General features: G+C 43.9%; 2 long non-coding RNA genes across 2 annotated transcripts in view, besides 1 other annotated feature; one reads left to right on the top strand and one right to left on the bottom strand.

Annotated features, from left to right (window-relative positions):
- LOC124901947 (uncharacterized) overlaps positions 1-25627 on the top strand; it is a 42576-nt gene that overhangs the window by 14975 nt on the left and 1974 nt on the right. The window lies entirely within an intron of this gene.
- Positions 4157-4657: an enhancer, noted in NCBI's record as "H3K4me1 hESC enhancer chr8:54415779-54416279 (GRCh37/hg19 assembly coordinates)". NCBI's record gives its function as "activates a minimal SCP1, AML or CMV promoter by ChIP-STARR-seq in primed H9 embryonic stem cells {active_cell/tissue: H9 hESC(primed)}" and the evidence as "EXISTENCE:reporter gene assay evidence [ECO:0000049][PMID:30033119]".
- LINC02984 (long intergenic non-protein coding RNA 2984) lies at positions 12717-24903 on the bottom strand. The gene is made up of 2 exons (NR_149032.1): positions 24267-24903; positions 12717-17892 (listed from the first exon to the last, which is right to left on the bottom strand). It is a non-coding gene; the product is annotated as a long intergenic non-protein coding RNA 2984 (long non-coding RNA).

Raw genomic sequence — 25627 nt, forward strand, 5'->3', positions numbered from 1 at the left:
GCTCTTTTTTTCCAACTCACAAATGAAAAAAGATAAATTCTGAAAGATTTTTTTAAGACTTTCAGGCTCTATCCATGCAATAATTTTTGCTCTAAATATTTAGGGAAACACTTGTGCATGGCAAATGTGCCATTTGCATAAGTACATATTTTTATAAGAGCATGAATACTGTTTGCGCAAGAATGCATCCGTACCTCCACAGTATGCATGAGGCATCTCAGAACAGGAAGAACAAGGACCCAGGAGCCAAATGACTCAGGCTGGTTCTGCAAAGATGTCCCTGAGAGCTTACTGGTTGTCACTGGGGCACTTCCACCTGGGTCTCCATGTAGTTTCTCCACGTGGCATGGTGCCCCCAGTATAGAGCTCTACTCTAAGAGAGAGGTACTGCAGGGCCTCTTATGACCTAGTCTCAGGAGGCACCTGACATCACCTCCACTATATTCTTTTTTGTTTGTTTGTTTGTTTGTTTGTTTTGAGAGGAATCTCGCTCTCTCCCACAGGCTGGAGTGCAGTGGTGCAATCTGGGCTCACTGCAAGCTCCGCCTCCCAGGTTCACGCCATTCTCCTGCCTCAGCCTCCCAAGTAGCTGGGACTACAGGCGCCCACCACCATGCCCGGCTAATTTTTTGTATTTTTAGTAGAGATGGGGTTTCACCGTGTTAGCCAGGATGGTCTCGATCTCCTGACCTCGTGGTCTGCCCGCCTCGGCCTCCCAAAGTGCTGGAATTACAGGCATGAGCCACCACACCCGGCCTCCTCCACTATATTCTAATAGTCAATGTGGTGGAGATGATAGCCCAGATTCAACAGTCTGCCCTGCCTGAGAAGACCCAGCCTCAGCTTCCAAAAATGGAAGGTGTTGATTGATTGTGGCCATTTCAGAGAATATCTGACACACACTGTCATCCTGTTTCCTTCCCTGTTGATAGGGGAAACTTTGAGAATTAAATAAATTAACAAAAAGGAAGGTCATTACTAAGTATTGGTAAAGACACTGTCGTACTTTCTCCTCTGGTGTCTCTTTCTCCTCAGTGTCATTTGTGCTTTCTCCACATCCCTCTGGCTTAGTGATTGCTTCTCCTCCCTCCTCTAAATGCTTGCAGGAAGAGACTATCCACTTCTGCAGATGAAGAATCAGTTCCACAGAGCTGCTTTCTCAGACTGTGTCTCCTTCCCCAACTCCTGCTAAAGTTCCAACTCACCTGTCCAAAGGCTAGATGTTCTGAGGCCTCCACACCTGCGTCTCACCATCCCACCACACTACATCCCACCATCCCACCACAACATTTCACTATCCCACCACACCTACATCTCCCCATCTCACCACAGCTACATCTCACCATCCCAACACACCTACATCTCACCATCCCACCACACCTATGTCTCACTGTCCCACCACATCTCTGTCTCCTGGGGTCTTTCTGTTTCACCTACTTCTCACCAATGACTCCATCCTTTCTTTATCACTCCCACCGTCACCTCCCTGTGAAATCTCCCTATCTCTCTTCTGGGTGTGTGCAGCACCTTTCAAATCTATCTTTCACCTTAATCCCAGAATGATCTTTCAGAAGTAAAATCTGATGAGTCTTACACCTCTGTTTAAAATCTTTGGATGGCTAGCCATTGCCTAGAAGATACCATCCGAGCTTGACATATTTAGGAACATCTGAGCTCTTCCCAACTCACCAGTATCTCTGTCCTCATTCTTGATTACTCTCTTTTCAAAGATTCAGCTTCGAGGAGCTAGCATGGCTCCAGAACCTCAGGCCTCACCTCCATGTAAGATGGACCGCTCCTAATTACACAACATTAATACATATCAATTTCCACTGCCACATTCTCAGCCTTATGTCAACAGAGGCCATGATGTTGCTCACATTTGTATCCTCAAGGTGTACAACAGTACCTCTTGCATAGCAATCACCCAACAAATATTAATTAAATGAGGAAAGGAAATCAATTCTTTGTTCCTGGGCCCTGAAAGAGGAGGAAAGTAATATCTTTTGGAAAAGGATCAGGAACAGAAAAGATCATATCTATTTTATGACGGTCTCTATAAACTCTAACTTATGTTTCAATAAAATTCAACACAAATAATAGCACTTTATTAATCCTGTGCAAGGCAATTAGTAATTTTACCATATTTGGCCTAGGAATAGTCAAGGTCCCACTGCTGCTTCCTGACTTAGTACCATATGGTCCTTGATTAAGGTAAGATAAATAAACCTCCCCCAACACACCAGGTATTCCAGACCATAATTACTGAGGCACTTTGCAAAGAGTATCAGGATTTTCAGTTTGCTGGGGCATTTAGTCCTTTGATAGTGCTTAGTGTTTCTCAGTCCCAACATCTGCTACTTCCAAAAGACACTGACGTTCTTTGGGATTCGTCTGTGAACTAAGACAACCTAGTTTATCATGTACAAACAACCAAGAGCAGCTTGGTCTTTTAAACCTGAAGCACTGGCTGAATTCACTCTGTTCAAGTCAACCTCAGAGTTGACTTTAATTTAGATTGTGCAGAGACCATGTATTGACCAACTAAGTGTTCCCTTAGGTATGACTCACCCAGGTGACATTATTTAAATTTGGAGCTGCCTACAGCTGATTATGATGAATTGAACTGAGCTTATGAAACAGGAAAAAAAAATGAGAATGTAAAAGCAAATCAAAGGTGCTTCTTAGGAAAGGCAGGAGCATGGATTCTACAAATGAGTATTTAGGCACAGAATGGATAGTTATTTAATTCCAAGACTTCACGTTGGCTTGCCAAAGACAGTCAGCGAGTGGAACATGCAGCTCCTCAGTCTTGGTGTGACTCAACAGCAGCTAGATTGACCAGAAGGCTGTCATGTTCAGACCAAAGAATCAATCACAGTCACACAGCGATTCTTTAAAGACCTGCACATGCCTCTAGTCATATAAAAAAGGAAAAAGAAAAAGAAAATAAAGTTGAAAGAGCTTATCCGAAAATTGTGTTTGGAGAGCATATTTTTTAAATGAAAAAGGCCCATCCTATTCCAAGTTCTGAGGACCTGGACTACACACAGTAACCAGCTGATAAAACAGCTCCGCATCATGGAGGTGAGCAGGACGGCGTGGGGGCAGATCCTGGCTCAGTGGAGCACCCCCATACGGTCAGGGCATGAGGCTGAAGTAGCCACGTGTGCAAAGACCCAACTGGTGGAAACCCCACTGAGGCAAGTGTGGGAGGGCTTGAGTGAAGTGGTGGCTGGCACTGAAGGTCAGCAGAGCCCCCAGTAGAAAGGAGCTGGGTTTAGAGGATTTCTTCTGTCCAGCAGGCTGCTAGCTGTGGCTGTGCTGTGGGAAAGAGCAGCAAGCCAGCCCTGCTTCGGGGGAAGCAGCCAGACCCAGGCTGGGCTCGGGAGAGTCTTAGAAGGAGGCTGGGAATCGTGGTGTGCTGGGGAGTGTGGAGTCCCTTGGATGGCTGAACCAATTTGCTAACTTCAATCAAATGGCACCTCTTGATGATGCCTTCCAAAATAAAATCCTCATCCCTGGCTACTTCCCTGAATTTCAGACTCACAGGCACAAATGCCAGCTCCATGTTGCCACTGGGATGTCTCATCCTCACATACACCATGACATGTCTAAAAGAGAACACTGGGTTTCCCGCCCCACCTCCCACTGCTCCAACCCCAGCTTCCCATTCCAGTGAATGGCTTCACCTCCACCCAAGTGCTGTGCTGAGAGGCACCCTTGGTTCCTCTCTTCCCCTCTCCCACCCCCAAGCATCCAGTAGCAAGTGCCGTCTGCTCCACCTGCACCATGTACCTCAAATCTGCCCACCTTTCTCTACTCTCTGCCACTGTCATGGGGATCCAAGCCACCGTCATCTCTGGAAGGGACTGACCACCACCGTAGCCTCTTAACCTCCCTTGCTTCTACCTCTGCCTCCCAATCTGTCCTTGAATAGAAAATCAAAGCAATATAATTTGCATTTTTACAAATGCAAATCAGGCCCCACATCTCTCCCCTGCCACAACCCACCACTAGCTCTCTTGGGCCAAGAGAACAAAATCCCACAGCCCACAAGGCACCTGCTGACCTGCCAGACTTGGCCCCCAACGTCCCACCTTCCTCTGCCCCCAGGCTGTGCTGAACAGCCTGTCCCACCCACGCCTGCCCCAAAGCCCAAGGTCTAAATACATGTGCCATGTTTCTGGAATGGTCTCCTAGATCTAGGGTTCTCAAACCAGCAGCAGCAACACCTCCTGGGAGCCTGTCGACAACGCAACACGCTGAGGCCTCACCCCAGACCTACTGAGTCAGAAACTGCGCAGTGAGCCCAGTCATCTCACAACACCCTCTGTGCAACATGGTCCCAGGTGAGCACAGGCTAGCTCCTCCTAGAGAGAGGCCTCACTGGCCATGCTGTCTTTACCTTGTCCCTCCTCTCTCTCTCTACTTCCCTCTCTCTGCCTCTCTACCTTCCTCTCTGTCTCTTGTCTCTCTCTCTCTCCCCTGTCCTCCCACCTGGCTGTTTCCTTTGATTCAGAGCCATTACTCTGCCACTGTTTTACCTGCTTTTCCCCCCTTCTTATTGTCATGCCACCCTCCATCTGGAATGCAGGCTTTTTAAAAGCAAGGCCTCTGTCTATACTGCTCCTCCTAGCTGCCCACCTACCTAGAAGAGCTCAGTAGGAATGTAATATGTGCAATCAAGGAAGCAGGTTCTGAACGGTGCTGAGCACAGAAATCATGGGTTCCTGTTAACATGCACATTCTGCTTCAATACGTCAGTGGGACCTAGAAGAGCCAGGCTGTGTTCACCTACAGCAAACTCAAATGTACATCAGAATCACCCAGAGGTTCAAACGCAACAGCTGGATCCACCCTAGAGTTTCTGACACAGTAAGTCCAGGGTAGGACCTAGTGTGATGCATTGCTAAGGAGCTCCCAGGTGAGGCTGGCATTGCTGGCACTTGGACCACAGTGTGAATATTAAGGCATTACATTCTAGCCTAAAGGGGTGGGGAAGGGGTGGGAAAGGACACTAAGGGGTTACACAGACTTCCAGCGCCCACACCTGGCATTGCAGCATAGCATCTGGTTACGGCAAGACCTCGTCCCAAACCTCACCAGGCAAAGGGCTGGCATCCCTCCATCTCCTTGGAAAGAACCATGCACACCACACCTAGCCCCAGCAATGGGACCCTCAGTGACTTGGAGACTACGAGACAGCATAGCCACATGAGCATGGGACACACACTTGGAGGTGCGCGTGTGTGCATGCCAGCGGCCTGCTGAGTTGGGAATGGGCTGAAAGGACATTTTCTATCATGTTAAAATGCCTTGTCCATAGGTAAAGGGAAGCCTTGGAAAGATTGTAAGCATCAGAGATGATAGGGTCAGACCTGGGTTTTAAAAAATCACTTCAACGAACAATACGTAAGGAGGGGAAAGCAAGTGCAGACCCTCAGATGAATCTTTATTCAAACCTCGTGCATCTGTTTTGGAAGTCTAGATTTTTATTCCTTGAGTTTGTTTGAAGCTGGATGCAATTGGCATTACATTCTAATCTGATATAACAAAGAAAGGAGCTCAACGCCTCAATATTTGTTTCATCTCTGCTGCTAGAAAATGTCATTACGAAAATAGCAGCATCTGTTGGGAGTCCATGGGCACATCACAGATATGCAAGCATGTCCTCTAAAATGGTCTCATCACAAAATATTGACTTTATTTAAGGCTTTAACAAGCAACAGAGCTCGCTGAAACAGGCCGCAGGAAACAGGCTGCAGGCAACGAGACCACAGATCCCCAGGACAAAGTGCTTTCTTTGGGTTTTTTCTTAGTTCTTTGTAAAATGTAGAAAATTCTTTTTTGAGGGGAATTAAAAGCATACAACAAATGTCAGCCAAACTTCACAAGGGCCTAACTATGCAAAAACAGAAGAAAAACTGAAAAAGAGAAGGATGGAAAGAACAATAGCTTATGCTCTTACAACCACCAGCACAGGCCAGGCGCGGTGGCTCACGCCTGTAATCCCAGAACTTTGAGAGGCCGAGGTAGGTGGATTGCTTGAGTCCAGGAGTTGGAGGCCAGCCTGGGCAATGTGGTTAAACCCTGTCTCTACAAAAAAATACCAAAGGAAAAAAAATTAGCCAGGAGTGGTGGTGCATGCCTGTAGTTCTACCCGCTCAGGAAGCTGCAGTGGGAGGATCGATTGAGCCCAGGATGGGGAGGCTGCAGTGAGCCATGATTGCACCACTGCACTCCAGCCTGGTTGACAGAGCTGTCAAGAAAACAAACACACAGGCACTTATTATAAATCCAACCATAAATAGGTTTATGTAATTTTTAACAATTTATTTCAGGAGGCTCCCAAGTCCTTTCTGTTTTCAATATCATGATTAGCCTACATTGTGTCAATTTATTTTGTTCTTTCCTGGGTAAGCCCAGAGCCCCATGAAAGAGGACAGCTTTGATTCTGGTTGGCTGCTGGAGCTGCTCCTTAGTGAGGCAATGTCACCCACAAAACAAGTGTGTAGAGTGATGTCTACCTAACAGCATTGTTTGGACATTTTTATAGAATCATCTATTTACACATTATTTTTGTAAAATGTGCAAACAAATAGAACTCCAGCTTATGTTTTAATGATAGAATAGCACTGAACAAGTTGGATGCTATTTGCTGACCCAGAACTAGGCACTGACCTAGGGCATGGCTGGTAGCTTTTATTCCTATATCCCCAGCCTCTAGCATATGGCTGGGCACACAGCAGGCACCCAATAAACACTTGATGAGGAGATGAAGGAATTTTTCTTACAATGTCTCAGATTCTTCTTTTTTTTTTCTTTAAAGATGGGGTCTCACTCTGTTGCCCAGGCTGCAGTGCAGTGGCGCATCACAGCTCACTGTAACCTGGAACTCCTGGGCTCAAAGGATCCTGACACCTCACCTTCCCAAGTAGCTGAGACTACAGGTGCGGCCACCATGACCTCAGACACATCATTGCAAAATAACTTATAAATCATGCTCCAGACCTATTATACTCAAGAATTCTGGAATTATGTTTCACCATATCAACTCATATATTTCAATGTTTATAAGTGTCTTATTAAAGTGTCTAAGCTTATGTGTGGCAAATACACAGACACAAACTAAAGTACAGCCTTTTAAATGTGTTTTTCTGTTCTAGCTTGACACTAATCGAACGGGCTTTTTAAATGAGCATTCTTATTATCCCAAAATTTCATTTGAATATTTTGTAATGACTGTCTCATTTATGTTTCAACTCATTCAACCTCTTCCTGACATTTCCATTAAAATCAATGTAGCTTCTCCCTTTCTTTCTCTACAGATAGAACATATACTTATAACTCAAAGAGATATCATCAAGCTAGATTTATTTAGAACCTACTGGATCTCACCCAGGTGTTCCTCTCTCAACATCAGCACAGTAAATACAAATCATATGTAGCATTTCCTAACCATGTACTGCAGAGACAGATATGGATATCTCAGATCTGCCTGTATCAATTCTCTCTCATTCATTGTTATTCATTAGAAATCTAGGTTTTCCTGCAAATTAAAACAACTGGTCCCAAGGTTAGCTTTTCTCTTCTCTATTCAGATAAATAGAAACAGTGGTTTTCCAAACTAGAGGCAAACTTTAGAGGCCCTTCTAATAAACCAGACATTGTGATAACAAAACCCCTAATCCTTAGGGCTCTCGTGGTGGTGATGACAGCAAGGCACTTAGAAATAGACAAGGCACTATATAAATGTACATTGCAAGAAGCTGATTCTTCTGGGCTGCCCCCTGGAATGCTTTCCTTGTTGGTTTACTTGGCTGTCTTCTCATCATTTCAACATCTGCTTAAATGTTAGACCCAGAGAGTTCTTCTACTTTGGCCTCCAATCTAAGACATGGTACTCCCTCCTTGAATTCTCTTCACTTTCTGGGTCATTCTTCTACTCTGACCTCCAATGTAAGATGTGGTCCTCCCTCCTTGAATTCTCTTCGCTGTTTGGGTCATTCTTCTACCCTGACCTCCAATCTAAGATGTGATACTCCCTCCTTGAATTCCCTGCACTGTTTGGGTCACTGTCTGATATTTTACTTCTCTATCAGTTTCCAGTTGCTGCTGGGCTTCCCCACAGGAAGATCAGCAGGGCGTGGTCCGTTTCCTTTACCACTCAAACCCCAGATCCAGAGAGAATGCCGAGAACTCTGAAGCTCCCCATAGATAATTGCTGGGTGATTGCAGAAGTCTACCAAAAAGCTGATATTTTAAAGATTTCTTTATTACTAGGGCTCATGACTCCCTGGGCTTATTGATTTTTCAATAAATATTTGTTGAGTACCTGGCCTGTAAGAACTATTCTGCATATTAACAATCCATTAGTAACAAACTAGAAAACCAAAACCCCTACTCCCATAGAGCTTGTATTGTAGTGCAGAGAGGCAGATGATAAGTCAACACAGCAGGTAAATGCAGGTTGTTAGAAGATCTGGAAGAACAAGGTCGGGGTGCTGAGAGAGAGAATGAATGTCCATTTTAGATGTTCTGCTTATTTTAAGTCTTGCTTTTAACTTTCCAAAGAATCTTCAAAATGATCTCGTTTCGACCTCCCCATAACCCTGTGCATATACATTCATGAAGACTAGAATAGTTCTAAGTCTTAGCATCCCTTGTGCAGTTTCTTCTCTGTGCCTTTAGCCAATTCGACAGATTTGGTGGAAAACTCTGTCAGGGCCTCAGTTGCTTCACCGGTAAAATGAGAGGGTGAAACTAGACTCTAAAATTCTTTCCAGCCCTAGAAATATTATAATGACAATGTTAAACTTTGCTTGAGCCCTTGATCCTGGGAAACAGAAAATGTCAAGAAATCCCACCCCACCTCCACCTCCCACACCTAACCCCACCTCCCACCCTCCACTTCCCACCCCCCACCCATCTCCTACCCCCAACACCCCCCACCACTCACCCTCCACCCCACCACCCACTTCCCACCCCTCACCCCACCCACCACCCATCCCACCACCACCCACCACCACCACCACCCATCACCCATCACTACCACCCACCCCACCACCCACTTTAGCCCAGGAGTTCAAGACCAGCTTGGGCAACATAATGAGACCCCCTCTCTACAAAAAATTTATAAACTTTCTAGGTGTGGTGGTGCACACCTGTAGTCAGTCCCAGTTCCTCAGGAGTCTGAGGCAGGAGGATCGCTGAAGCCCAGGAGTTTGAGGCTGCTATGATCATGCCACTGTACTCCAGCCTGTGTGCAGAGTGAGACTCTGTCTCTAAAAAAAGAGAGAAAAATTCTTGCCTAACTCTAGAGGTTCTCAGAGATCTTAAGTGTAGAGCACTCTCCCTATTGCAATAGTCCCCTGCCCCAGCAATGGTTCCCTTCCCCCAACTTGCAATAATACTTTCAAATACTTTCTCCGAAGTTTTGATTTGCTTTTTATTGGACAATAACTTGGATACAACTGAGCTAATTTATGATTACTCACAACCAGTCACATTCAAAACAGCAGCCTACCATCTGAAAAAGGCCTGAAAAGTATCTTAAATGTTGATGGAAGTCTCCTAAAGAAGCACCATACCAGGCATGCAGACTAAGTTACACAGAGGTAACAAATGGCCTTCAACTTTGATTTTGGCTAACTTAATGTGTGGATTTTAGAATCTAAATAAGAAGACATGATGCCTCTGTCAATAAACTGAAATTTCTATCTGCTTGTCTATCACTACAGGACACAAAACAGCCAGATGGGGTTTTCTGCATTTTGTTCTAAAGAATTTGGAGGGTTCCTTGATGTCAGGGTGAGTGTGAGAGAGGCATCAGAAGGAGACATTATCTTCCAAAGCTGTAGAACCCAGCACAAGAAGAGGCTCCTGTCTTCCAATTAGGAGGAATGGGAGTATGTGTCAAGATATAATAGCCAAGGACAAGCTGCAGTGGCTTTCAATTCAAACCTCAAATCAAAAGTCACCCAAGCTGCAGGTGTTGGTGCTGTTACCATGGTAACTACACTGTAACGCACTGCACTTCCTCAGTTTGTTGATGTGTGGGCAGCTGATGACCCTCCCAGGCACCCAGATAGGACAGATGCCACAGCAGTGTCCCACTGGGGTCACCAAATGCTGCTGAATACCTACAAGTGAACATTTGTGTTGAAATTCACAGCTTATAAATCATCTCATGGGATGATTTGTGATCTAAAGATCTATGAAATCAGGGATTTTTTCTCTTTTTTCAATTTTTTATACCCTGTGCCTAGAATAGAAACAAAGGTGTTGTTGGTGGGTCCACAAATATGTGTTGAAAGAATTCTCACAACAATCCTTTGAGATAGTGCCCCTATTTTTAAGTTTGGAAGCTGGAGGTTTAGGGAACAAATGCAGCTTGTCCAAGGTGATTGTAACAGAGGGTGACACTTCTGAAGGAATGTTAGTAGTGTCACTTTCGGTCATATGGAACTTGAGATACCTGGGACATATCCAGTTTCAGGTGTCAGCCTCTCCCGTATCCAGAAGAGATTTTTTTCCCCCATCAACTCCTAAAATACTTTTTGATGCCATGTCCCCATTTCAGGCAATTGTCACACACTGCCTGGTTTCACAATGGTCTCTGTGTAGATCATACTCTTCTAACTGGCTCATGGGTGTGGGTACAAGCGGATCATCTTCATTCTTAAGCCTTAGTAGTCTGGCTTCACTAGGGACCAGGACGTCTGTGAGTTTTATTATCAGTAAAAATTAAGGGTGTGGGTGAAAATGAAAACATCTCCATCACTGAGACCAGAAAAGGATTCTCATTTGCCACTCGACAGCTTTACCAGGACATGCTGCATGAGAAGACAGCTAGGAAGGTCAATGCCATTTGCGTAACTGGCTTTTGACAACTCAGCTATGGCTAGGACTGCCAGTAAAGCTCAGCACCAGAAATGCTGCTTCATGCCTGCTGCCACATTTTTACTCTGAAGCAAGTCAAGACAAGGCTGGTTGGGTCAGGAAAGTTTCAACATCCCTACAAGCCAATGAAACACCCAAACTTAACAGCACTTTACTGCATAAGCTCCAGCACCCTACAGTTCCTGCCCCATTTTTGTGGTTGGGAGCACCTCCTTTCCGGGGACAGCCATCAACCTGGAGCACCTCCAAAGGGGTGGCTCTCTGCCTTTTGACTTAAGCTTCTTCACGTAATTCTCACACTATCCATCGTGAGATCCATGAAAACAGGGACTTTATCTCCACACCTCCAACCTGTAGAACAGTGCCAAGGATGTGCTCAATAAATGTATTTTGAGGGAATTTACATGAGTGAATTTGCTTCATCAGCCTTCAGCACTCTGGCTCTGCATGGAACTGTCCACTGTGTGTAACACCTCCACTCTCGATTTTACTCCATGATGTCACTATTCCACAACACCTTAGACAATTATCTCTCAGGACACGGAGCTGTATTGGATGATTGGAATCTACCCCTCCATTTCAGCAGTTCTTGCTCCATTGTCATAATCTGGAGCACCTCCTTCCAGGGACAATCAACCTGGAGCACCTCCAAAGGGGTGGCCAAGCTTTGAAACTGTCATTGACAAAAAATGGTAACAATTCTGGGGAGTAGAGAAACAGAAATCAGCAGATCCTCATTATTGACAGCATGCAAAATTGGGAAACTCTATCTGCTACATATTGATTTGAAGCAGCCCAACTCATCTCGATGGAGCCACAGGGGAATTGTTGCCCTAAATCCTGTCAACACCAATGCTTGGTCAGGATGGGAACACATGCTGCAGATAAGCTAATGTCACCATGGCTTTGGGGCTTCCCACACCTGGAAAACACTTGACAGAATTCTCTAAAAATTGAAAACTTCTCTAAAAATTCTCTAAAAGTCAAAAAATGACAGAATTCTCTGTCACAAGATTTTAAAGTAAAATTTTCCTAAAGTTTAGCACAGATATCAGAAACAAAAGTGTCACGGGGTTTTAGGGGAAGCAGCAGGTCCATGGAGCTCCCTGTTCTTTCATTCCTATTATTAACACATTGAGTCTTGATGTCTTATGCTACGTTATTCAGTGCAGCACTGCCCAGATCCCCATGTCCTTACAGGAACATGCGTGCCTCGCTGAGGGCCTGTCTGAGCTCCAGGAGCTCCCTGGTGAGAGACTGATTATGCAGATCATTCTTCTCAGCTCTGTGGAAACTTCAGCCTGGAGCCAATTTGAACCTGTTCTCATCTGTCACAGACTGTGCCTGTTGGAGGACACAGAGAAGAGGGCAGTTGGGAGAAAGAAATGTTTGCACCTCGGCTTGTGAAGTGCTCCAAAGTCATCAATCCTGCTGATACTTGGTCTATCAAAATGCTCACACTTTTGGCTTGACAATTCTCCATCCAGGATTCTAGACTTGCATAATGACACAAATGTGCAAGATGTACATTAAGTTTTATTTAAAACAGAAAAAAAAATAGAGACAACCTAAATGTTGGTTGTCATGGGGATGGTTAAATAAATGATGATATGCTCACATTATGCTATACCATGCAGCCATTAATGTTTATGCTACAATATTGAGGGGTTTTTTCTTTAAAAAAGGAAACATACTGCATATTCTGTGAGAGGAAAGTCTTGGCATATAAGTGTATGTTTGAACAGACGAAGCAGTTCATTGTGGTTTCCTCAAGGGAGTGAAAAAATGGGGATGAAGTTAAAACAGACAACTTTTGCCTTTTACTTTAAATACATCTTTATTGTCTGAATTTTTTACATAAGAATATATCATTTTATAAATTAAAATAAAATTTCAAACTAAGTGGTAAGAGTTTTAAAATCTCTAAACTGTATAGATGATAGAGAGAGAAAGATCTAGATTGGTCCATAGTTATATCTAAGATACATTTACTGAAAGTTGACACTATAGGATTTGGCTGACATGACAAGAAGAACATGAAGAAAATTATCCTTTTAGGATTAAAAGAAAAAAGCAACTAATTTCGAATCATCTAGGTAAAGTGAATTAATATACCTTGATGGAAGTCCACACCAATTTCAAATTGGCTGGTACTTCATCTGCCCTCTCTTCTTTGCTAATTGGCAATTTGCTAAGGATGAACAAGACACAAGATGCCTTTTATCAGCAGGAAATTTCACCTACCCTTTTCAGGAACTGCCTCAAATAAGGTTTCAACCAATTTAGCACTGCCCTCAAAGAAGCCTGAAGCTGGGAGATCTGAGGTTTTTGGACACACCAACAAATACAAAAGGAGAGAAATGGTCTCCAGTCACAGAACCCCGCCTTCATTCAAGATCAAGTCTGAGCTGGCAAACTTAATGGTTGGAACCTCAGGCCAAAGCTTTTATCACAACAGAACTTTGTTCTTACCATGTCTAGCCTAATTCCTCGGAGACTCTGTTTCCACAGACCAGGAAAACAGCACTTGGTTTTGGGGCTTTTCTTTTAGAAATGAAATAATACAGAATCAGAACAAAACTTCAGATGACATATAATGGTGTAAAGAGGGAAGCACCTGCAAAACTCCCAGAAGATAAAAATAAGCCATTACTGTTTGATATATATACTTTTTCATATTTCCTGTGCAAAATATGGCCATGTAAATATATAACTTATGTCCATAAGAGACTTTTACAAAATAATTATAGTATTCACTAGCCTGCTTTCTTTTCAATAATGCTATGTCCCAGATACTTTTTACGTTTATCAGTCTGTAAATATAATTTACACCATCATTTTTACCAGCCACATGGTATTTGTGTGTATACATAAACTATCATTTATTTAACCCATTCTCCATGGATTTACTACTTTTAACGGCAAAGACCACAATTACTTTAGTACCAACATAATACATTTAGGATTTTCCTGCTTGCGATTTACTATACTGTAATAAACATCCTTGCACTTTTTTTTTTTTTTTTTTGAGACAGAGTCTCACTCTGTCACCCAGGCGGGAGTGCAGTGGTGCGATCTCTCAGCTTACTGCAACTTCTGCCTCCCGGGTTCAAGCGATTCTCATGCCTCAGCCTCTCTAGTAGCTGGGATTACAGGCATGCAATACCATGCCCGGCTAATTTTTGTAGTTTTAGGAGAGAGGGGGTTTCACCATGTTGGCTAGGCTGGTCTCAAACTCCTGACCTCAAATGATCCAACACCTAGGCCTCCCAAAGTGCTGGGGTTACAGGCATGGGCCACCGCTCCCAACTCAGTAATTACTTTCTGTTATATTCATGGGAGTAGAATTGCAAGGTATATTCTGCACTTTAGTGCACACCAAACTGCCTTCAGAAAAGATGTACCTGTTTACACTTTCATCATTTTATCTGTTTTATATGTTTTCAGACACTTTATCCTGCAACTTTGACTACTTAACGGTGGGTTCCAATAGTAAAAATAGTAACATATGCTTTGTGGTCATGTTAGCACTGATTAATTAGTAAACCTTCCACGTTTTCCAGTCAGTATCAACGTGGTCTTCCGTTTATTTTCCTAATCTCACTTTTCGTAACCTCCCTTTCTCTTCTTGTCTCACTTCCTTACATTTCTTCTGAACCTCCGTATACCTGTCTCATTAAATTTAATGATTAAACTTTTTAATTACAATTGTAAAAGTATCTCTAATCAATTAATACATCTCAACCAAAGATAAAAATATGGAACTCTTATAAACTATTGACTAACCAATGAGAAGAGCACTGTATTGAGAGAGTGAAGAATGATACGTGGCAGTATAAAATGATTTCAGTGATAAAGTTTTTAGCTTATGAATAAAAAGAAAAATGCTAGTTTGTGTTGCAAATAAAATAAGCTGGGAAATGTTTGGATGTTTTGAAATTTAGAAAGAGAATGAGTTAGGGCATGGTGGCTTCCAGAAGGAGAAATAAGAGTGAAATGTATGATGTTACTTCTATTTTATATTATGTGAAATATGATATACTCATCTCAGTGTGGTATACATGGCTGATAAGAGCTTAAACTGTTACATTTGTGAAGTTATTTGGGCTTTTGCAGAGTACACTGTCTAGGAAATGACTCATATGGAGGACAGCTGAACTCCTTCAATGGCCTAAAATCGCCTCACGCACAAAGCAGTGGGCTACATACAGCACAATTGTAGTCCACTCACTATATACTCAAAAGTCCTGTAATTCACCATCCATCACATTTATGGGGCCTGAGAAATGTGCCCGTAACTCTAAAAATCACACTCGGTAATTCCAAGGACAGTGGTGCCAGCAGCTTGGAGCCATCGATGCTTCCAGGACACTGGTCCGTGGTCCTTGATCATCCCACAGTTCTTGGCATGACTCAAGGATGTATTGACATAAGTCAGAACCAGTCATTCACCCTAAAAGCTAGGCTGCCTGGAACATTACTCACAAATTCCTTTCCCAAGATTCCCAACAGACAGCCAGCAGAGGAAGGGAGAAGATACATCAGGGAGAGGTGAGGACACAGGGAACGAACATACTTTGTGTGCTAACTCAGGTCCTCAGAGAAGTGGATGGCACGGTGCGATTAACCATGCACGGCGCATGTGGGCGGAAACGGCTGTGAAGGGGAAAGGAGGGGCAGCCGTGGGCAGGGAAAGCCTGCAGACAGCTAGCTGGTCTAAGGCCGGCGCAAGGAGCGGGGGCAGGAAGGAGAATGGGGAGAATGCGCTCAGACCAAAAGCACAGTTCTCAGCCTCAGCAGAGCCACAGTGGAGTCTCTGAGAAGTTTGCCTCTTAGAGGAGCCCAGCTTCCCCACTGCAGGTAGAAATGGGCCTCCTCCAGAACCCCGCTACCTTGCCACTGACTGGGAGCCGCCCAAGGGAGCAGTGGGCCTGGAGGCGCAGACACCGGGAGCTGCCAGCCAACTGTGCTCCCCTGTAGGGTCTCTTGGAGGGAGATGTGATGGGTGCATGTCACAGCTGCCACCCCATGTGTAAGTAATAAGAAGAACTTTGATGCGATGGGAGTATCTCCATAGAGACAGAGGGAGATAAGGTGAAAAGAAATATGTCTGCCCAATTGCAAAGTCTTGCAAGTCCCACTAGAGATTGGGCATTCACCCACTATCAGAGGCTCCAAGAAAACAGGGTCTTATGTGCAAATTCATTTCAGAAACACATTTTATAAGATTTCCTGCCTGGAGATTCATACAGCAGAGTAGCATATTAAAGTCTCTGAAACATCTTGCAGTAAAGAAACCTATTTAACTTTTTTAAACTCAGTATATTCCAGACCCACCTAACCAGATACTCACAGAATTCTGGCAGAAGATGCTTTAGCAACCTTGTGCTGTAGACCACATGATCCCAGCAAGGTTTCCCATTAGGGACACAATTGAAGTTCTGCCCCTCGGGTGGCAGCCTCCAGAAATAAATTGAGAGATGAATATATTAGAAGCAAAAACAACTGCAAAGGCCCAGCAATCAATTAAAAGGGCCTGAACTGGGTGAGAAGCTGTAACAAAGTGCCACAGGCTGAGCGGCCTAAGCAACAGAAATGTACTTTCCTGCGGTTCTGGAGGCCAGAAGTACAAGGCCAAGGTGTCGGCAGGGTTGGTTCCTTCTGAGGGTTGTGACAGAAGGGCTGTGCCTGGCATCTCCGTCTGGATTGGAGACAGTTGCCTTCTTCTCGTCTTCACATGGTCTTTTCTCTGTGTGCTCACATACCTAGTGTCTCTCCCTGTAAGTCCTAATCTCCTCTTCTCATAAAAACACCAGTCAGAGTACCTTAGGGCCCACCCTAATGACCCTGCTTTAACTTAACTACCTCTGTAAGGACCCTATGTCGAGATACAGCCACATTCTAAGGTGTGGAGGGTGAGGCTGGCAGCATATAAGCTTGGTGGGGTGGAGGGCACAGTTCAGCCCACAGCAGTGCAGTGGAGATCGCTGCAGCCCGGGAACACCTGCCTCTGCTCCCTCTCCTGATCTGTGGATGACTACGCTGCCCAGCACCCCTGCAAGTAGGAGGGATGATGTGACTTGTTCTGACCACAAGGCTGTGAGCAGAAGCATCTTATGTCACATCCAGGCCCAGCACTGAAAAGCCTCTGCTCAACCCCTTGCCTGGAAAATCCTGAGCCATGTGCAGAGGAGGTGGCCAGATAAGACAAGGGGGCCTCTTCAGCCTGAGTCCCTGAGGGACAACGCACAGCAGAGACCCTGCAGACCTGCATTGGGTGCATTGCAGAAGGGAGAAATGGACTTTTTCTGTACTGAGCCAGAGAAATTTGGAGATTAACTTCATACTTCAGCATAACCTAGATGATTCTTACTAAGTGATGGGAATGGACAGAGTACACTGCCAAAACATGATCATGTCGTGAGCAACTCACTTATCTTGGAAGAAGGAAGGAGGGGGTGATATTTCTGAGTATGTTGATCGAATGGATAGCAACATCATTACAGAGAACAAAGGAGATGAGACAGCTTTGGAAATAAATTGAATTTGGGCCATGTTATGCTAGGGATCCTCAGCCAGCAATGTCTAGTAAACAAGTCAAACCTCACATCTGCAATCCAAGAACAATGTCTAAGCTGGAAATAATAATATTGGCATTCATCGGCGTATAGTGACTGGTAGATGGGAGTGGACTGAACTACCTGGGAAGAGTTTGTGGAGTGAGAAAAAAAAAAGAGCAAATACCCTCTTGGAAGTTAGGCAACTCCAACTTGGCAAGAGTAAGCCGAAGAAGAAAATGCAGGAAGCGAGGCTGGCAGTGGTCAGAAGTCATTGCAGTTTTCCTCTCTCATGACTGTCTCGCCTCAGGACCATAAGAAGCTGGCAGAAATGATGCTTTCCATCCTTGTATTCCAGGTGCCAAGTCCAGATGACTGTACTTCGTGGCCCTTCAGTGTATGCAGCAGAAAGCCTGGGACCGTAGAAGGCCTGCGGGAGAGGGTGGGGAAGGTTGGAGAGTCATGTGTGTCCTGAGCTGCAGACAGTCAGAAAGAGCACTAAGAAGAGGGCTCGGCCATGGCAGGTGTGGGAGTCATTCAGGGCCAACCTTTAAGACACGAGCTTCAAAACATCATTCAAGAAAAAACCCATGCTTGACACATTGGGGAATGCAAAAGGAAAGGTCAGAAGTGCAGATTGTTTTTGTAGACTATTCTTTGAAGAAGCTTTGTTATATCAGAAAGGAGAGAAATCAAGTGGTAACTCAAGAAGACAGCAAATTTAAGAACTCATGTTTTTGGAAGGAAGACCCAAAAGCATGGCTATTGATGACAAACAGGGGGCCTATGGAGAAACACTGAACACATACCAGAACAAGGAGAATAGTCTCTGCAGCAAGCCTGAAGGAGGCGTGGGAAGAACTGACCCAAAGAACAAGCTGAGCTGACAGACTTAAAATGAAAATAAAATGACAGACAGACAATTCAAGGAGTGCCATGTGGGACAGCAGATCTCTAGAGCTTCATCTTGCTTGGCTGAAACTGTATGCTCACTGATAGTAACTTCCATGGCCCCTCTCCAGCCCCTGGCAACCACCATGCCAGTCTTCACTATATGATCACTGACATTTTTATTTATATTATATTATATTATATTATATTATATTTTATATTGTGCACTTAAAATTTGTTAAGAGTGTGGATCTCATGTTAAGTGTTTTTACTAAAATAAAAATTTTTAAAAGAAAAGACCAAAAAGGCCAGGCGCAGTAGCTCACACCTGTAATCCCAGCACTTTGGGAGGCCGAGGTGGGCTGATCACCTGAAGTCAGGAGTTCGAGACCAGCCTAACCAACATGGTGAAAGCCCATCTCTACTAACTACAAAAAATTAGCTGGGTGTGGTGGTGCATGCCTGTAATTCCAGCTACTCAAGAGGCTGAGGCAGGAGAATCACTTGAACCCTGGAGCCGGAGGCTACAGTGAGCTGAGATCATGCCATTGCGCTCCAGCCTGGGCAACAACAGCAAAACTCTGTCTCGAAGAAAAAAAAAAAGAAAAAAAAAAGAAAGGACCAAAATATGAAAGCGATCATCCTTTCTTTGAGAGAGGAAAGAAGGGAACAATGGAGAAACACATGTGCCTGAAGCTAGAAAGCACCAGCAAAGAGAACTCATGTCTGGTGATGTGTGTTTTTGCCAGGAAATAGGAGGAAGGGTCAAGTGAAGGAAGGGGAGAGGTGGGATGTAACTTAAAGGGTGGTGATTAGGATTTAGAAGCATTGCTATGAGGAATAGAATCAGAGGCCAATTTAAAACACAAATTATATATATTTCAGAACAGCATTTAGAATCCTGCTGAGTTTTGTTTTTGTTTTGCTGCATGTTCTAAGGGATTTGGTGCAATCTTTTGAAACTAATTTAGACTTTTAGAAAAATACTTTCAGCTGTGAAATCACATTTAAATAAATGCACCACATATATTCTCCACAAAGCCATGCTTTTGTGCAACCGACACACAAACCTGCAAGAGGATTGTTAAGGGCTGAACATTTGTGTCCTTCTGTGATATAAGAAAACATATTTGATCTCTGCCCTTGGTTCCTGACACAGAACTTCTAAACCCCTTAAAATTACCAGGGTAATACAGGTGTCTTTATTCTAAGAGGTAACCCTTGGTGGGCTCCTGGAGAGCTTCAGGATAGGGACTTCTCATCAGAGATAACAAGCCATGGTGAGAAGCTTGAAACATTCAGCCCTACCCCCTTATTTTCAGGGAGGGGAGAAGGATTGGAGACTGAGTTAATAATTGATGATGCCTACCCAATGAAGCCTCCATAATATCCCTAACCTATGGGGTTTGGAGAGCTCCCTGGTTGGTGAGTGCATCCATATGTCTGGAGGGTGGTGTGGCCCAACTCCATGGGACAGAAGCTCTTATGCTTGGGATCACCCTAGACTTCACCTTAGGTACCTCTTCATCTGGCTGCTCATCAGTATTCTTTAAAACATCCTTTATAATAGACCAGTAATTGTAAGGAAGTTGTTTTCCTGAGTTCTGTGAGCTATTATCGCAAATTATTGAAACTTAGGAAGAGGTCATGGGAACCACCAATTTGTAGCCAAGTCAGAGAGAAGTGTAGGCACCCTGGGTACCCATTACTTGTGATTGGCATCTGAAGTGGGGCACAGGTTTGTGGGATTTACCTCTTAACCTTGGAATCTGCACTCTTGGTAGTTAGTGTCAGAAGTGAATTAAATTGTAAAACATTCACTGGTTTCTGCAGAGATATGGATAACTGCTTGGTGTAGAACTGCTTGTTCATTCACTATTCACAAAACCAAAGACATGGAATCAATCCAAATGCCCATTAATGATAGCCTGGATAAAGAAAATGTAGTACATACACACCATGGAATACTATGCAGCCATAAAAAAGAATGAGATCATGTCTTTTACAGGGACATGGATTAAGCTGTAAGCCATCATTCTCAGCAAACTAACACAGGAACAGAAAACCAAATACTGTGTATTCTCACTCATAAGTGGGAGCTGAACAATGAGGACACATGGACACAGGGAGGGGAACAACATACACCACAGCTTGTCAGGGTTGGATGGGGGAGGGAGAGCATCAGGGTAAATAGCTAATGCATGCTGGACTTAATACCTAGGTGATGAGTTGATAGGTGCAGCAAACCACCATGGCACACGTTTACCTGTGTAACAAACCTACACATTCTGCACATGTATCCTGGAACTTAAAATAAAATTTTAGTAAAAAAGAAAAAAGAAAAGCTGTTGTTTGGTTTCAAAAGTGTTGTGGGTAAATCACTTTCCTTTACCACTCCACTCAAATTCAAATGTCAAAATCTTAACTCCTAATTGATGGTGGTTGGAGGTGGGGTCTTTAGAGAGTGATTCATGAGGGTGGAGTCCTCATGAATGGGATTAGGGACCTTATAAGAAAACACAGGAGTACTTGCTCCCTCACTCACTCTTTATCTCTTTCCATCTCTCTGCTCTGTCTCTGTCTCTTTCTCCTCACCTCTTTCTCTCTCTACTCTCTGCCATGTAAGGGTACTATAACAAAATGGCTGCCTCACCAGACAGTAGATATGTCAGCACCCTAATCTTGAACTTCCCAGCCTCTAGAACTATGAGAAGTACATTTGTGTTGTTTAAGCTACCCCATCTATGGGATTCTGTTATAATGCCCAACATAGATAACATAAGGATCAATCAAAGGAGTTAGGAGCTATCTCATCCCTGAAATTCTTCTAAAGCTCTGCCAGTTTTATTAGTGATTATTTCTAAGACAGCCTGCAACCATATGATTTGATTGAGCATGTAGATGGGGGTTCAGTATCCTTATGAGCCATCTTGTGCCCACATGGCTGGCCTATAGTACTGTACAACTTTTCCAGGGGGCCACTTATTATCTTTTTAATGTTTTATAGCTATGCTTTTTTTTTTTTCTTGGAAGGCATAGACAGGGAAACTTAGGAGCTCACCTGTTTGTAAAAGCCTTTTCCTAGCAAGCAACACAGTATTTCTTAATAATAGAAGTTTTTATGAGCCAGACGCTTGAACTTGTGGGTGTCTGTTTGGGGAAAGAGTCAGTTAAAGTAAAAGTAAAGTTATCTTGAGGCATTAACTTTTTTGCTTCTCAAGGCCATTGGTCTCTTATGTTAGCCTTTCTACAAACATAACATAAGGAAAGGCCTAGGCTGCTGGCAATGTTTTCAGCTAGCTGAATAAATAGGTTTGTTTTGTTTGGTTGGTTTTTTTGGTTTTTTTTTGGTTTTTTTTTTTTTTTTTTTTTTTTTTGCTAAAGGAGGAGGCTCTGGTAACTTCTAGTTTATATGCTCAGAGAATGACTTAAAGGCTCAGAATTGTTGCTGGGCCAGACGGGTTTGGGTTCCTTGACCAAGTAGTATGTGTACAGTGGGGACACCTTTCTATAGGTGTTTCTTTTAGCATAGTTAAGGGGGGTAACAACAACAAAGCAATGTACAGCATATTTATATCCAGCAAGGACAAAAGAGGTCCTTACCTGAGAAAAAGATTGAGCACAGTGACAGAACAATAGTAAAACAGTTAGTATACAGGAAAACCACTAGTCCTAAGATTTCTAACTACATTATTTGCTTGACAAGTCCTCAAGCTTCAGCCATGCTTAGACTACTCAGCTTCTGGTGTATGACTAATGCAGGGCTTATTGTTTCTTCAAGCTTCAGCCGTACATAGACTGGTCAGCCTCCAGAGTAACCAGAGCAGGGCTGTTGTCCTCAGCAGCAGCTTGGTCTCATCTCAGGATTAGCCGGGTTGGATATCTGGGTCTTGCTGGCTGGTTTACCTGTCCCGAGCTGATGGTGTTAGCCGATGGTGGTGGATCCAAGACATAACACCTGCAACTTTAACAGCAGTGGGAGTGGACAAGATTACAGTATAGGGCCCATCCTATATGGGACCTAGAGAAATTAGATTCTACTTTTTAACTGAAACAGATTTACCAGATTTAAAGGGGTGTCAGGCTTATAGGCATTTTCATATATTTAATTATCAACACTTTGCATGGCTATTTCTAAAGCCTGCATTTGCTTTCTTAAGGTTAATTCCTTTAGTTCCTGGAGGTCATCTTTAATTTGACCTATGATTTGGGAGTGGCTGACTGAACAAAATCTTATGGGGCAAATACCCAGTTTGTTTGGTGGGGGTGCACCTGACTCGGAGGAGGACCATAGGCAAAAACCTGATTCTACTTCAAATGAATTTCCTGGCAATATTTCCTCAGTAGCTGCTTGAGTGTCCAGTTCATGTGTTCTACTTTTTCCTGAACTTTTCGGCTGATAGGCTGTATGCAACTTTTATTTTATTTTTAACAGTCTTGTTAAATCTTGCACTATTTCAGCTACAAATGCCGGCCTATTGTCTGACTTTAAAGTTAGAGGCAGTCTAAACCTGGGGATAATGTTTTTTAACAGTACTTTAGTCACTTCTCATACTTTTTCTGTCCTGATAGGGAAAGCTTCAACTTACTCTGAAAAGCAGCAAACAAGCACTAGCATGTACCGATAGCCACCAGCACGGGGAAATTCTGTAAAGTTTATAAGCAAGTTTTCACAAGGCATGGCTCCTTCTCCTGTTCAGTTTCCTAGAGGAGGGTTTTTTTTTCTTTGTTTCTTTGTAATTTTATCTAGTGGCTTAGCTATCAGTGAGAAATTGGAATCCAGATACGGCAGAATTTTGCTGCCTTTGACTTCTAATGTGACCATGGGCTCCTGGGAGCCTAATGAGAAGGTGTCCAGTCTGTCCTAGTCCTTACATCCTTTAGCTCCTGCCAGCCTGATCAGATCAGTATTTGGTTCCTCCAAGGTGGGGCAGCACTTGGCCATTTCCCTCATTGTCTTCTGAACATTTATCCTTCCAGTGTCCTTTTTTCATCTCACACATTAATTTCTTTCTAGCCTTGTCTGGCTCTTGAATCCCTGCCTAACTTGATTTCTTCCACATCTACATCTGCGTCTACATCCTCTGACATTGCTAATCTCTCTTTCTATAAGAGCCGTTGCCAACAGATTGGCCTTTTTCTTAAGCCTTTAATTTACTTTCCTTTTTCATTCCTGAGTTCTCCTGCTCCTTCGGCCAGCCGGCAGGGCCGGGCAATGGCAGGGCAGGGCAACAGCACGGGCCTTGCCCCTTTGCACTGCTGTCTGTCTCTCATTTCTTTCTGATTTGTTTACCTTTTTTTTTTCTTTCTCACACTTTTATTTTTTTCCTTTCTTTTTCCTTTGTTCTTCTCCTAATACCGGTCTCCAGCCCCCTTTTATTCAGATACAGCCGGGCTGGGGAGAGGGATTTAACCCTTGGCGTTCCTAGCTGCTGCACTTGTTGCTTTTGCTTTTTCTTGTTTTGTTCCCTGGTCACAGTTAAGACAGACCTTGGTAGCTACTTTTATAGACTGGGTGGTATTCATGCCTGCAGCTTCTGCTTGATGTCACCCTGGGCTTGCCTTACAAATGAAGTATTTACCATATGCTGATTTTCAGCAGTCTCAGGGTTAAATGGGGTGTAAACCAGAATGCTTCACAGAGTTTTTCATAAAACTGACTTAGCCTTTCTTCAGCTCCCTGAAGCACTTCTGAAATCTTCCTTATATTAATTGCTTTCCTTCTACTAACTCTTAGCCCCTGCAGAAGTGCCTCTTGGTACCTCTGCAAACGTTGAAGCTGAGTTGCATCCTCCGGGTCCTTTTTGTCCTTCCCCCAGAGTTCAACAGGCCCTTTTTCTTTATATAATGCTCCATGCACTTGGAGGGTTAAAAAGGCATACCGAGAGTCAGTGTAAATGTTTATAGTCTTACCTTAACTGAGTTCTAAGGCCCAAATTAAAGCAATGAGCTCATCTTTCTGGGCTGAAGTGCCTTGGAGCAACGATCTGGCTTCAACGACAGTGTCCAGGGTTCCACCACATATCCCGCACATCTCTCTCCTTGTGGGTTGATGAAGCTGCTCCTGTCCACATATAGCTTCCAGTCTACTGATGCCCAAGGCTGGTCCCGGAGATCAGGTCTGCTGGAGTAAACCGAGTCCAACACTTCTACACAGTTATGCACGACAGGGCTCTCTGATACCAGGAGCAAGATGGCAGGGTTCAGAGTGTTTCCAGTTTAGTAGATCAGTGGTTGAAAAGGGCTGATAGATGAAAGTCTGTTGCCCCCTCCGGATGTGGCCCTGGTCATCATAATAGATAGGTCCTCGCATCTCCGTGAGAGGCATTTGCATAGCTCGAGCACAACCAGATCTGAGACGACCCCCGCTTGACTACCTTGATCTCCTTCCCTGGCCTCTGGAGTCTCTGATCCTCGTGAGACCTGGGGCATGTTAGCTCCTGAATCTGGTTTCTGAGGCGGCTGTTGGCCTCGGTAAAGTGGGGGTAGGCTGGGACATAGGGAGAAAGAATTTCTGTTGCCTTTGGCAGTTCCTGTACAACTGGCTTCTCTTGCTGTCTCTGGGACTCCCCTTTTAACTCTGTGTCTGCTGGCAAAGCTGCTCTTACTTTCACTTTTGGCTTTTTTGCAATAAGCCATTAAACAGGGCTGGATCTATGCTGGTTTTGTCTATATTATATTTAGCCATGAGTCAATATAAAGGAATTTGATCTGGGTACACTGGCTGTCCTCCAACCCTTGTCACCACCTTAAATACATGGCCAATTGTTCCTTGTTTAAAGTTCCTTCAGTCAGCCATCTAACACCAAAAGAAGGCAATTTTAATTCACAGAGAGTTCTCAACCTCTGGGGGGTTAACTTAACTCTATAATCCCCTCCAAAACCTTTCTTAAGGTTCTGTAACATGCACTCCAATAGAGTAAGTTTTGATGTTTTGGTGACTTTTCTTCTATTCCTCCTTTTATGACGCAGCACATTCACTCTTGCACACTCACTCTTTCTCTCGTTTTGGCCGACTACACCATCTCCTATTATGGGAGTTTTTAGATGCTGCTTGCCTTTGGAGAGGTCCTTATTCCCACTACAACTCTGAGCTGTAGGGCAGCTCCTATTAGCGGTATGTAGATTGCCACTAGTCTTAGTCAGCCCCACACTTTCACGGAGCACACAGTTCACACTAAGAGATCTGTGACTCCCCACTTCTCAGCTGATGAGCCTAATTAGGCCCCTCCATTCACACACTTTCACACACTTTCAGTTCCTATGTTCATAAT

The sequence above is a fragment of the Homo sapiens genome, chromosome 8 (assembly GCF_000001405.40).
Source record: "Homo sapiens chromosome 8, GRCh38.p14 Primary Assembly".
In the NCBI taxonomy this organism is placed as follows: domain Eukaryota; kingdom Metazoa; phylum Chordata; class Mammalia; order Primates; family Hominidae; genus Homo; species Homo sapiens.